At 42.2% G+C, this 13,997-nt stretch overlaps 1 long non-coding RNA gene across 2 annotated transcripts in view, besides 1 other annotated feature; it reads left to right on the top strand.

Annotated features, from left to right (window-relative positions):
- LOC107985960 (uncharacterized) overlaps positions 1-13,997 on the top strand; it is a 119,748-nt gene that overhangs the window by 16,660 nt on the left and 89,091 nt on the right. The window contains exon 2 of one of the 2 annotated variants that reach the window (XR_001739773.3): positions 13,652-13,795. The exons of the other annotated variant lie outside the window; for it this stretch is intronic. This is a non-coding gene — a long non-coding RNA (uncharacterized LOC107985960). The remainder of the gene's footprint in view (positions 1-13,651; positions 13,796-13,997) is intronic. 2 annotated transcript variants of the gene reach the window in all.
- Positions 2,862-3,435: an enhancer, noted in NCBI's record as "H3K27ac-H3K4me1 hESC enhancer chr2:173134675-173135248 (GRCh37/hg19 assembly coordinates)". NCBI's record gives its function as "activates a minimal SCP1, AML or CMV promoter by ChIP-STARR-seq in naive H9 embryonic stem cells {active_cell/tissue: H9 hESC(naive)}" and the evidence as "EXISTENCE:reporter gene assay evidence [ECO:0000049][PMID:30033119]".

A 13,997-nucleotide genomic window follows, 5' to 3' on the forward strand; every position in this document is an offset into this window, starting at 1 on the left:
GTGCTGCTGGATTCGGTTTGCCAGTATTTTATTGAGGATTTTTGCATCAATGTTCATCAGGGATATTGGTCTAAAATTCTCTTTTTTTGTTGTGTCTCTGCCAGGCTTTGGTATCAGGATGTTGCTGGCCTCATAAAATGAGTTAGGGAGGATTCCCTCTTTTTCTGTTGATTGGAATAGTTTCAGAAGGAATGGTGCCAGCTCCTCTTTGTACCTCTGGTAGAATTCGGCTGTGAACCCATCTTGTCCTGGACTTTTTTTGGTTGGTAGGCTATTAATTATTGCCTCAATTTCAGAGCCTGTTATTAGTCTATTCAGAGATTCAACTTCTTCCTGGCTTAGTCTTGGGGGGTGTATGTGTCCAGGCATTTATCCATTTCTTCTAGATGTTCTAGTTTATTTGCGTGGAGGTGTTTATAGTATTCTCTGATAGTAGTTTGTATTTCTGTGGGATTGGTGGTGATATCACCTTTATCATTTTTTATTGTGTCTATTTGATTCTTCTCTTTTTTCTCCTTTATTAATCTTGCTAGTGGTCTATCAATTTTGTTGATCTTTTCAAAAAATCAGCTTCTGGATTCATTGATTTTTTTGAAGGGTTTTTTGTGTCTCTATCTCCTTCAGTTCTGCTCTGATCTTAGTTATTTCTTGCCTTCTGCTAGCTTCTGAATGTGTTTGCTCTGGCTTCTCTAGTTCTTTTAATTGAGATGTTAGGGTGTCAATTTTAGATCTTACCTGCTTTCTCTTGTGGGCATTTAGTGCTATAAATTTCCCTCTAACCACTGCTTTAAATGTGTCCCAGAGATTCTGGTATGTTGTGTCTTTGTTCTCATTGGTTTCAAGAAAACGTCTTTATTTCTGCCTTCATTTTATTATGTACCCAGTAGTCATTCAGGAGCAGGTTGTTCAGTTTCCAGGTACTTGTGTGGTTTTGAGTGAGTTTCTTAATCCTGAGTTCTAATTTGATTGCACTGTGGTCTGAGGGACAGTTTGTTGTGATTTCTGTTCCTTTACATTTGCTGAGGAGTGCTTTACTTCCAATTATGTGGTCAGTTTTAGAATAAGTGTGATGTGGTGCTGAGAAGAATGAATATTCTGTTGATTTGGGGTGGAGAGTTCTGTAGATGTCTATTAGGTCCGCTTGGTGCAGAGCTGAGTTCAAGTCCTGGATATTCTTGTTAACCTTGTTTCTCATTGATCTAATATTAACAGTGGGGTGTTAAAGTCTCCCATTATCATTGTGTGGGAGTCTAAGTCTCTTTTTGTAGGTCTCTAAGGACTTGCTTTATGCATCTGGGTGCTCCTGTATTGGGTGCATATATATTTAGGATAGTTAGCTCTTCTTGTTGAATTGATCCCTTTACCATTATGTAATGGCCTTTGTCTCTTTTGATCTTTGTTGGTTTAAAGTCTGTTTTATCAGAGACTAGGATTGCAACCCCTGCTTTTTTTTGCTTTCCATTTGTTTGATAGATCTTCCTGCATTCCTTTATTTTGAGCCTATGTGTATTTCTGCACATGAGATGGGTCTCCTGAGTATAGCACATTGATGGGTCTTGACTCTTTATCCAATTTGCCAGTCTGTGTCTTTTAATGGGGGCATTTAGCCCATTTACATTTAAGGTTAATATTGTTATGTTTGAATTTGATCCTGTCATTATGATGTTAGCTGGTTATTTTGCCCATTAATTAATGCAGTTTCTTAATAGTATTGATGTTCTTTACCATTTGGCATGTTTTTGCAGTGGCTGGTACTGGTTTTTCCCTTCCATGTTTAGTGCTTCCTTCAGGAGCTCTTGTAAGGCAGGCCTGGTGGTGACAAAATCTCTCAGCATTTGCTTGTCTGTAAAGGATTTTATTTCTCCTTCACTTATGAAGCTTAGTTTGGCTGGATATGAAATTCTGGGTTGAAAATTCTTTCCTTTCAGAACGTTGAATATTGGCCCCCACTCTCTTCTGGCTTGTGGGGTTACTGCTGGGAGATCTGCTGTTAGTCTGATGGGCTTCCCTTTTTAGGCAACCTGACCTTTCTGGCTGCCCTTAACATTTTTTCCTTCATCTCAACTTTGGTCAATCTGACAATTATGTGTCTTGGAGTTGCTCTTCTTGAGGAGTGTCTTTGTGGTGTTCTCTGTATTACCTGGATTTGAATGTTGGCCTGCCTTGCTAGGTTGGGGAAGTTCTCCTGGATAATACCCTGAAGAGTGTTTTCCAACTTGATTCCATTCTCCCCATCACTTTCAGGTACACCAATCAAATGTAGATTTGGTATTTTCACATAGTCCCATATTTCTTGGAGGCTTTGTTTATTTCTTTTTACTCTTTTTTTCTCTAATCTTGTCCTCTGACTTTATTTCATTAATTTGATCTTCAATCACTGATATCCTTTCTTCCATTTGATCAAATCAGCTATTGAAGCTTGTGCATGTGTCACGAAGTTCTCGTGCCATAGTTTTCAGCTCCATCAGGTCATTTAAGGTCTTCTTTACACTGTTTATTCTAGTTAGCCATTCATCTAACCTTTTTTGAAGATTTTTAGCTTCCTTGTTATGGGTTAAAATATGCTCCTTTAGCTCGGAGAAGTTTGTTATTACTGACCTCTGAAGCCTATTTCTGTCAACTCGTCATTTTCTGTCCAGCTTTGTTCTGTTGCTGGCGAGGAGCTGCAATCCTTTGGAAGAGAAGAGGCGTTCTGGTTTTTATAATTTTCAGCTTTTCTGCTCTGGCTTCTCCCCATCTTTGTGATTTTATCTACCTTTGGTCTTTGATGATAGTGACCTACAGATGGGGTTTTGGTGTGGCTGTCCTTTTTGTTGGTGTTGATGCTGTTCCTTTCTGTTAGTTTTCCTTCTAACAGTCAGGACTTTCAGCTGCAGGTCTGTTGGAGTTTGCTGGAGGTCCACTCCAGACCCTGTTTGCCTGGGTATCACCAGTGGAGGCTGCAGAATTGCAAATATTGCAGATCAGCAAATATTGCAGAACAGCAAATATTGCTGCCTGATTCTTCCTCTGGAAGCTTCATTCCAGAGGGGCACCCACCTGTATTAGGTGTCTGTCGGCCCCTACTGGGAGGTGTCTCCCAGTTAGGCTACATGGGGGTCAGGGACCCACTTGAGGAGGCAGTCTGTCCATTCTCAGAGCTCAAACACCTGTGCTGGGAGAACCACTGCTCTTTTCAGAGCTGTCAGACAGGGACGTTTAAGTCTGCAGAAGTTGTCTGCTGCCTTTTGTTCAGCTGTGCCCTGCCCACAGAAGTGGAGTCTATAGAGGCTGTAGGCCTTGCTGAGCTGTGGCGGGCTCTGCCGAGTTTGAGCTTCCTGGCCACTTTGTTTACCTACTCAAGCCTCAGCAGTGGTGGATGCCCCTCCCCCCACCAGGCTGCAGCCTCACAGGTTGATCTCAGAGTGCTGCACTAGCAGTGAGCAAGGCTCCGTGGATGTGGGACTTGCCAAGCCAGGCACGGGAGAGAATCTCCTGGTCTGCTGGTTGCTAAGACCATGGGAAAAGCCCAGTATTTGTGGGAGTGTACCAATTTTCCAGGTGTAGTCTGTCACGGCTTCCCTTGACTAGGAAAGGGAAATCCCCCAACCCCTGTGCTTCCCGGGTGAGGTGACGCCCCACACTGCTTCTGCTTGCCCTCCGTGGGCTGCACCCACTGTCCAACCAGTCTCAGTGAGATGAACCAGTTACCTCAGTTGGAAATGCAGAAATCACTCATCTTCTGTGTTGATCATGCTGGGAGCTGCAGACCTGAGCTGCTCCTATTCAGCCATCTGGGAATGTTTATATATGGAGCAGGGAAGGCCGGTCATCCCCACCCTAATCTTATGATGCAAATGGGCTTTCCACTTGGCTGGTGCCACCTTGTCTGCTCCTTACTGTACATGTGGCTGGCAAAGAGAAGTTAGAGCCACCATTTTGATCATGCCTAGTCCCAGATAGCATTTTTCTTCTATTGGCACAACCACGGGCATTCACTTGTGCAAGCTTCCAGTTTCCTTGTTTATGTCTACAGCTCAATTTTACAGGCTGCTCTTTGTTAGAAAAGAAAATGATTTGGGGGCACTTTTCATTAAAAGGAAAACCTTACTGAGGACTTCCTTACCCTCACTATCTGCCTAAATAATTTCTTTTTAACTCCTATATCATGATGACTTAATCACTTCCCAGAAGCCCTTCTCTTAACACCACCAAATGGGGATTACATTTCCACCCAAGAATTTTGGGGCAGATTCAAACAATAGCAATAAATGTGAATATCAAGTACATATTTGTAGAGAAAATATTTTTAAAATGTATTTTATAAAGTGTTTTTCAAGATACCTTTTTAAGATTTATTTTTAATTTTTATAGATTTAGTGAGTATAATGGCAGATTTCTTTTTTTTCTTTTTTCTTTTTTTTTTTTTTTTCCCTGAGACAGAGTCTCGCTCTGTTGCCCAGGCTGGAGTGCAGTGGCGCGATCTTGGCTCACTGCAAACTCCTCCTCCCGGGTTGCAGTGATTCTCCTGCCTCAGCGTCCAGAGTACCTGGGACTACAGGCGTATGCCACCATGCCCAGCAATTTTTGTATTTTTAGTAGAGACGGGGTTTCACCGTGTTAGCCAGGATGATCTCCTGACCTTGTGATCTGCCCGCCTTGGCCTCCCAAAGTGCTGGGATTACAGGCCTGAGCCACCGCACCCAGCTAGATTTCTTACATGTGCAGATTTCTTACATTTCTCCTGCCCTCCTCCTTTTTGGAGTCTCCAGTGTCTATTATTCCACTCATGTGGAATAATAATACATGTGCAGGATGTGTAGGTTTGTTACATAGGTAAACGTGTGCCATGGTGGTTTGTGCACCTATCAACCCATCACCTAGGTATTAAGCACCCTGCATGCATTAGCTGTTTATCCTGATGCTCCCTCTCCCCCAACCCCTGATAGGCCCCAGTATGTGGTGTTTCCCTCCCTGTGTCCATATGTTCTCATTGTTTAGCTCTCACTTATAAGTGAGAATATGAGTATATACCACATTTTTAAAATTCGGTCCTCCATTGGTGGATACTTAGATTGATTCCATATCTTTACTATTGTGAATAGTGCTGTGATAAACATACAAGTGCAGAATCTTTTTGATATAATGATATTTCCCCCTTTGGGTATATACCCAGTATTGGGATTGCTGAATAGAATAGTGGTTCTATTTTTAGTTCTTTGAGAAGTCTCCGTACTGTTTTACATAAAGGTTGTACTAATTTACATTCCCACAAAGAGAGTAAAAGTTCCTATTTCTCTGCATCTTTACCAACATCTGTTGTTTTTTCAACTTCTTAATGATAGTCATTCTGACTGGTGTAATATGGTATCTTATTGTGGTTTTAATTTGCATTTCTCTGATGATTAGCGATGTTGAGCATTTCTTCATGTTTGTTGGCTGCTTATATGCCTTCTTTTGAAAAATGTTCATGTCCTCTGCCCACCTTTTAGTGGTGCTATTTGTTTTTTCTTGTTGAGTTCCTTGTAGATTCTGGATATTAGCCCTTTGTTGGATGCATAGTTTGCAAATATTTTTTCCCATTTTGTAGGTTGTCTGTTTATTCTGCTGATTGCTTCTTTTGCTGTGCGGAAGCTTTTTAATTTAATTAAGTCTCATTTGCCTATTTTTGTTTTTGTTGTGTTTGCTTTTGAGGACTTAGTCATAAATTCTTTGCCTAGAGCCAATGTCCAGAAGAGTTTTTCCTAAGCTTTTGTCTGGGAATTTTAGTTTTGGGCCTTAAATTCTTCTAGAGTTAATTTTTGTCTATGGTGAGAGGTATGGGTCCGGTTTCATTCTTCTGCATATGGCTATCCAATCTTCCTAGCAACATCTGTTGAATAGGGTGTCCTTTTTCCAGTGTATATTTTTGTTGACTTTGTCGAAGATCAGTTGGTTGTAGGTATGTGGCTTTATTTCTGGGTTCTCTGTTCTGTTCCATTGATCTATGTGTCTATTCTTATACCAGTACCATGCTGTTTTGGTTACTATAACCTTGTAATATAATTTGAAATCAGGTAATTTGATGCCTCCAGCTTTACTCCTTTTTCTTAGGATTGCTTAGGAGCTATTTGAGTTCTTTTTTGTTTCCATATGAATATGAGGATTCCTTTTTCTTTCTTTTTTTTTTTTTTTGAGACGGAGTCTCACTCTCTTGCCCAGGCTGGAGTGTAGTGGTGCAATCTCAGCTCACTGCAAGCTCAGCCTCCCGAGTTCATGCCATTCTCCTGCCTCAGCCTCCTGAGTAGCTGGGACTACAGGCGCCCACCACCACGCCCAGCTAATTCTTTTTGTATTTTTAGTAGAGACGGGGTTTCACCATGTTAGCCAGGATGGTCTCAATCTCCTGACCTCGTGATCTGCCTGTCTCGGCCTCCCAAAGTGCTGGGATTACAGGCGTGAGCCACCGCGCCCGGCTGAGGATTCTTTTTTCTAATTCTGTGAAAAATGATGTTGGTAATTTGTTAGGGATTGCATTGAATCTGTAGATTGCTTTGGACAGTATGGTCACTTTAACAATGATTTCAAGATATCTTTAGCTTTAAAAATGTATTAAGCATGATAACTATAGTTAATAATAATGAATTGTATTTTTCAAAATTGCTAAGACAGTAGATTTTAAATGTTCCCACCATAAAAAAATGCTAAGCAGATGAGGTGATGGAGATGCTAATTAGTTTGATTTACTCATTCCATAATGTATACATATATCAAAACATTGCATTGTACCCCATGAATATATATATAATTTGTCAATTAAAAATAAAAATTTAAATATGTATTGAATGTTTCCATCAAATTTCATATGCCTTAAATAAAGGAGAACTGTGCCTCTGAAGAGTCTGGCAGGTGGCCCCTTGGAGGAGGCCAGCTTCAGAGCTGTCTCCTCAAAGAAGACGTGGATGGGGTAGTTCATTTGTTTTTGAACACAGAATGGATACAGCTGTAGGAGGGGCCTTTATCAACAACCAGTCCCACTCTGCAGCAGTTAATTGCCACTTCCTGTCTAGAGAGTGCAGCACAATAGACTGAGCCCATCTGCTGTTTGCATCCCCCATGCCACCCACATGGGCATTAAGGTGGTGGAGGTCTAACAAGAAAGACTGATAGCGAGTCTGCCAGTGGGAGACTGGTCCATGGGTCTCTGTTAGCCCCAGGAATGGTTTCCACAGGTCAGGCTGACCTTCTGTGGCTGCCCTGCAAAGGGCCACACCTGTGCCTGCAAATACAGCTGCTGGCGTCTTCACATGGCTCAGCTCCCTGACCTGTAAACCTCTAACCGGAATGTTCTTTGGTGGTTAGGTCTGATGTTTCTGTTACAGGAAAAGGTTCCCGATCCAGACCCCAAGAGAGGGTTCTTGGATCTTGTGCAAGAGAGAATTCAGGGCGAGTCTGCAGTGCAAAGGGAAAGCAAGTTTATTAAGAAAGTAAAAGAATAAAAGAATGGCTATTCCATAGACATAGCAGCCTCGAGAGCTGCTGGTTGCCCATTTTTATGGTTATTTCTTGATGATATGCTACACAAGGGATGGATTATTCATGCCTCCCCTATTTAGACCACATAGGGCTCCTGACGTTGCTATGGCATTTTTTAAACTGTCATGGCGCTGGTGGGAGTGTAACAGTGAGGCTGCCCAGAGGTCACTCTCGTCACTATTTTGGTTTTGGTGGGTTTTGGCCAGCTCCTTAACTGCAACCTGTTTTATCAGCAAGGTCTTCATGACCTGTACTTTGTGCTGACCTCCTATCTCATCCTGTGACTTAGAATGCCTTAACCACCTGGGAATGCAGCCCAGTAGGTGTCAGCCTCACTTTACCCAGCTCCTATTAAAGATGGAGTTGTTCTGGTTCACATGCCTCTGACATTTCCACAGGCTGCTTTGTGTAGACTTTTAAAGAAAAAACAACCCACAAACCTATCTAAAAACAGTTGAACTGATGCAAGTTCTAAAAATGACTGAAAAATAAGCTTTATGGGGTAGGAGCCCTGTCCAAAGCAGTGCTTTCAGGGGCCATGTGGGAAATCCACACCCACGCAGTTAGCTAGTTGCATCTCTTTACCCACATTAGATGGCGATTTTAATTTGTTTTTAACTTAGCAAGAATTTGTTCAGTGATGATTCACTTTCACCAGCCTCCATGTCAGAGAAGGAAGACAGGTCATGTTCTCAAATTGTCCTTCCTTTTCACTCCTTCATAAAAATCCTGTTGTCCCCTTCCCTTTCTTCCTTGCTCAGCCATGTCCTCGCTCCCTCCCAAGCCTTCAGGAGTCTTTGTATCTGCAGAGAAATGGGGAGCTCAAATTAGTTAGGCAGGTCAAAAGAGGCAGAAAGAGGAACAGGGGTGGGCAGAGTTTCCACAAGTGGCTTTGCACGTCCCTGAGCTGCACCTTGCACCAGCAATCCCCTACCTATGCTTCACTAGCAATGACAGCGGGTCAGTGCAAAATAATCCAGGAACCACAGGCTGCCTGGGGGCTGCTGCTGCCTCTTGCTCAAATGAACATTATTCTCTGCTGGGAGCGGCGAGTCTACAAGCATGGGTGAAAACATCATGTCTCGGATTCAGAATCTGAGAAGGAGCAAGAAAGGAAGTCATCACAGACACAGAAATATCGGGAACCTGAACGAACTTATGTAGTGGACATTGGAGCATTCTTTCTTTTGGTGCTGGCATTCCCAGTGTTAGAAGGGACAGTATTCAGCCAACACATATTTATCAGGTAGTAGCTATGTGTCAGGCTTCTGTGCTAGCTGCTGAGGTGCTGTGAGTGACAGTCCTGCTTTCACAAAGCTCATAGTTGAGAGCAGTAGTCTCCAAACATTAGTCATTTTACATCCCTATAGGAAAAACATTGAGCTGAACTACTCTGTTTTTTATTTATAAATTATGTAATATATTGCTATGTTATGCACATCAAGTAAAATGATTTGTGTACATTACAAAATGAACAGGCAAAATAAATTAATCCAGAGGAGTTACAAATGTATATATCTATATAAGTTTCTAATATTTTCTTCTCACCTTCCAATAACTTATTTTACACAAGTTCTGGGATGCAGGCACCCACTGTAGAGATGACAGATGGTATTAAGAGTGTGATCTAGTGTGAGATTTTCTGGGTTCTGATGTTGGCTCCAGCCCATACTTTTTGTGTGGCCTAGGATTTGTTTCTTAAGTGCTCGGTCTAAGTTTCTCCATGTGTAAAATAGGTTTTATAATAATACTTTCGTTAGGGTTTTAGTGAAGATGGAATGAGGTGATCCATGTAAAGTGCTTAGAAGTCTTCCTGGCATTTGGAAAGAGTGCAATAAATGTTATTATTTTGATTATTACAGTCTCTTCAGAGAGAAAATCACTAACCAACTAAGTATTTAATTTCAACTGTGATGAGTACCAAGCAGGGCTAGTCTAGGATGCCAGGAGGGTGTATTGGGAAGACTTAACCCAGTCAGTTTTGAGCTGTGTTTGGAGTTCAGGAGGGAGCCAGGGTTGGAGCAGGGGCAGAACATTCCCAGCTGAGAAACAGCACCTGCGAAGGCTGAGGCAGGAGAGAACTTAACTCCTTGGGGGAGAAGACGAGGGCCCAGTAAGAGGGGAAGAACACTAACAGGTCCAATAGGAGAAGCAGGCTGGCTGGAGACCATGCAGGTCTTCGTGGGCATTGTATCCATCAAGGATCTGTTACCAAAACCAAAACCCATTTGCAGTCGTTTCAGCAGAAAAAGGAGTTTATTAGAGGATATGAAGATACTTTCAAAATTTCTAGAGGGCCAGAAAGTCAGGCTTGTAGGCCAGCAGGTCAGAACAAGGCTCAAACCAACCACACCCTGGGAGTGAGTCAGAAAGGGTCTCTGCAGCTGCCTCCAAGTCTAGACCCCCTCAGCACAGCTCATGCCATTGTTGCCCCTAGGATCTGGACACACTACTGCCACCCTTTCTAGCAAATGGATTCTGCACAGTTGGCTTGCTCATGGCCTCAATTCCAAATGAAGCTGTTTGTTAGACTATCTGATTGGCAGAGCCTGGGTCACATGGTGAGGTCTAGCTGCAAGGGAATCAGGGAAAGTCAGTTTTCTGGTTTCAGCTGTGGGGAGGTAAGAACCTCTAGGGTGGGAAAGTCCCCAAATATGGGAATGATGTCAAGCATTTTGGGCTTAACTGCTTTCACATCATCACATGGTCTGCTGTGGTCAGGAAGGCTGGAGAGGGGCAGAGAGGGGCAATCATCTTTGTAGAAATAAAAAAGAATAAACAAGCCTCAAATAACCAAACCCCAAACCCAACCATTTGGGAAATTAAGAAATGCTACCTCTTGAAAACTTTGTCCATTTATTTGCAATAAGTCTAACAAACCCTCTCAAGAGGTGGTGCTCAAGGGAGCTGTGCAGTGGGTTTGGATGAATGTGCAACCAACGCTGAACAAACATCCCTATTAAAGGGCGTGTTGTTCCAGGTTACAGTTTCTCTCAAGCTAAGGGCAGATCCTTTCTCTCAAAGACACAAACTGGAAAGCCCTGACTCAGGTGCCCAAATTAGGTTTGTGGGGTGGTGGGTCAAGGATTGGAAGGACCCAACAGGACAGAAGTATGAGATGGAAGCATTTTGGCATATCCAGAGGGAGATGGGTTAAGGAAGCAAGATGAAGGTCGGGCAGAGAAGCTGCTTTCTTAAGAAAAAGCTGACCGGGCACAGTGGCTCATGCCTGTAATCCCAGCACTTTGGGAGGCCGAGGTGGGCGGATCCCCTGAGGTCAAGAGTTTGAGACCAGCCTGACCAACATGGAGAAACCTTGTCTCTACTAAAAATACAAAATTAGTAGGGCGTGGTGGTGTATGCCTGTAATCCCAGCTACTTGGGAGGCTGAGGCAAGAGAATTGCTTGAACCTGGGAGGTGGAGGTTGCGGTGAGCTGAGACTGCGCCATTGCACTCCAGCCTGGGCAACAAGAGCAAAATTCTGTCTCAGGAAAAAAAAAAAAAAAAAAAAAAGAAAAAGCTGCATTTTTTCTTAAAGCAACTCCTAATGAGATCATGATTTTCATTGATACAAGAAGCTGGTTGAGTTGGCAGAGCGTTTTTTTGTATTAATGGAAACAAATTACAGCTTAATTCAGATAATAAATAATGCACTTCTAAACACAAAGCAAAATGTATTAAACAAATGGCTGTGGAATAGAAGGTCAAAATGAAACTGTGGTAAGGTGATTTCTCTGCAGCTCAATATTTTCTGTTTATAGTCTGACTTGGAGCCAAAAATAGGATTCTCATTCAGTTGTATTATTAAAAATAAAACGATCTAGTAAGTTAAAAATGGAAGTCTGATGAATCCTCTAGTATTATGTATATAATATAGGCATGTCAAGAGAGAAAATATTAACTAATTATTTTAATGATTTAATAAAAACCAGAATTTCTTAACTGATTATCTAGCAAGTTAAAAACATTGCACACCACTTAAACGTAACAAACTTTTTCTTATCCACATACCTACACACGCACCACCTGACATCACTTGACTATGTTTTTGGTATCAGCCTCCCTCTGAGACTTGTACTAATTTTATTTCAGTGCTTTTCTTCTACAACGGTGGTTCTTAAACTTTTGGGGAGCTCATAAATCCCTTTAGTATTTGACTGTCTCCCTTAAGAATTGCAGTCTCATCTTACTCCTGCAACAAATTTCAAGCAGTTTCGTGGACCGCCAATTAAACTTCTGCCTTAAACCTCAGCTTTCTCCCCATAAATCATGGCAAAGGGAGACAGGGAGCTCAGGCTGGTGTCGGTGATGACATCTGCAAGGATGGAAAGTCCCCACTGGGACTGCTTGTATGTAGTCCCCTGAAATACTGGATTCAGTGGTGCCAGCTTAATGGCCAGGAGAAGTTTTGTACCAGGAACTAACCGATTAGCGTTTTTTTTTTTTTTTTTTTTTTTTTGAAACAGGGTCTGGTTCTGTCATCCATGCTGGAGTACAGTGTACAGTCTTGGCTCACTGCAGCTTTGGCCCCCTGGGCTCAAGCGATCCTCCCACCTCAGCCTCCCGACTAGCTGGGACTGCAGGCATGCGCCACCAAGCCCAGCTAATTTTTGTATTTTTTGCAGAGACAAGATTTGCCACATTGTCCAGGCTGGTCTCAAATGCCTAAGCTCAAGCGATCTACCCACCTCGGCCTCCCAAAGTGCTGGGATTATAGGCCTGAGCCACTGCACTGGCCTGATTAGTTTTTAATAACTATAGTGTGCTAGGTAGAATGGAGGTGGAAATGGCTACAGCACTGCTGCCTTCTGGTTGCCTGGGACCGTCTGTGTCTGCCCCACCTCCATAACAAAACAGACCCTGCCAGCACCACTACAACGCCTTCCCCCCAGGAATCCTGCGGTGTTAGTGCTTTTGAAATATACATTCTTGTTAAGTTCTTAATGATGAAGAATAGCTTCCTCATTGAGTTTCTACTTCTAAGTATACATATACATTTTGAGAGGAAGGAGCTTTTATGTTTTAACTCAAAGGGTGTCTAATGGCAAAGTCCTCTCTGATTGGTCTGGGCACGGGGGACAGCAATTGGGAGCAGAGTTTGGGGATGGGTCCTTTCTAAAATCCCTAAAACTCCTGAACAGAAGATAGTCATTTAATTGCAAAATTACACATAAGGATGAAAATGAAATACCTTTTTGGAGGATTAACAGGAAATATAAATTTCTGTAAGGAGGTAGTGGAAGTTCTTTTCCAAAGAGGTGTTGTGGTAAGGCTTCAAGGTTTCAGATAAAAAGTCTGGTTCTAATCCTGATTCTGCATTCTACTAATTCAGTGGAGATAGAGGAACTTTAGGGCTCCTCAAAAAGTTCAGGCCTCACTTTGTGGCTTTAAGTTTTGAATATTGCCAATGTAGCCATGGCAGTAATTTTGGGAAAATTTCCAACTTCCTGAGCCCAGTTTCCTCATCTGTAAAATGACACACCTGCCTCCCAGTGTTGTTATGTGGAATTAAGGAAATAATACCTGCTATGTATTTAATCAGGTCTAAGGTTCTTATTTCCACCCATACATTAGAAAGGTCTCTGATATTGGGATGGCATCCAGGGGTCTAGACAACCCCAGTTTTATGGGGCCTGAACTCTATATTATTCAGGGACCTTTATAAAAAAGAGAAAATAATACGTGCAAAATTAGGTAAGAACATGAATATTTGTTTAAATGGGAAAATCACAACAAACCACAAATTTTAAAAAGGTGATATAAATCACAAACAACATAAAATACCATAATATTTGTAAAAATTAACTGCCTGGCCCACTTCTGTTATACTTCTTTGCCCTGCATTTTTGGAGGGGAGTGGGCTGTATGACAATGAATTCGTTATGTCTGTTTTCTATAGAGAGAATAGACAGTTCAGTCTTCCTTCTCAATGGTTGACGAAAATTTATTTTTTACTATCAACAGTAAAATGTGTGTTTTCCAGCTTCACAACTGTTTTTGGTAATGTCATATAAATCTTGAGAGTTTTTTTTGTCAAATTTGGGGAAAACCTCTATGAAGTTTCTTTCCTATATGAACTATGAGATTTGGGAAAATTTTCCACAGACCAAATTCTGGCTCACACACTTCACACCTTGTTTATTTTCTGCTGCCCAGGCCATATGCTGCTGGCGAGTGTGGTGGGATGTATTTATATTGGATACAGCCTGGAGCCCTGCACTGGAGCTTCTTACTGCCAGGAGAGCTAGTGTGGTGGAGGGGAGAAGCGGTGAAGCCATTTCTATCCCAGCATGCCCAGCAGTAAGTTAACTGCACAGACCACATACAAACGTCCCACTGAACCCAGACTAAATGTATCCCCAGCTCAACTTCCCCTTTAATAGGATCCCCAAGTTGCCCATAGCCACTCCAGTGCCACCCACATAAGGGGAAGTGTGACAGAGGGGAAGTCAGAGTGGAAAGAGACAGTGGTCTAATTGATTGCAGTTAAAATATCTTTTGC

Source organism: Homo sapiens, chromosome 2 (genome assembly GCF_000001405.40).
Source record: "Homo sapiens chromosome 2, GRCh38.p14 Primary Assembly".
Lineage (NCBI taxonomy): Eukaryota > Metazoa > Chordata > Mammalia > Primates > Hominidae > Homo > Homo sapiens.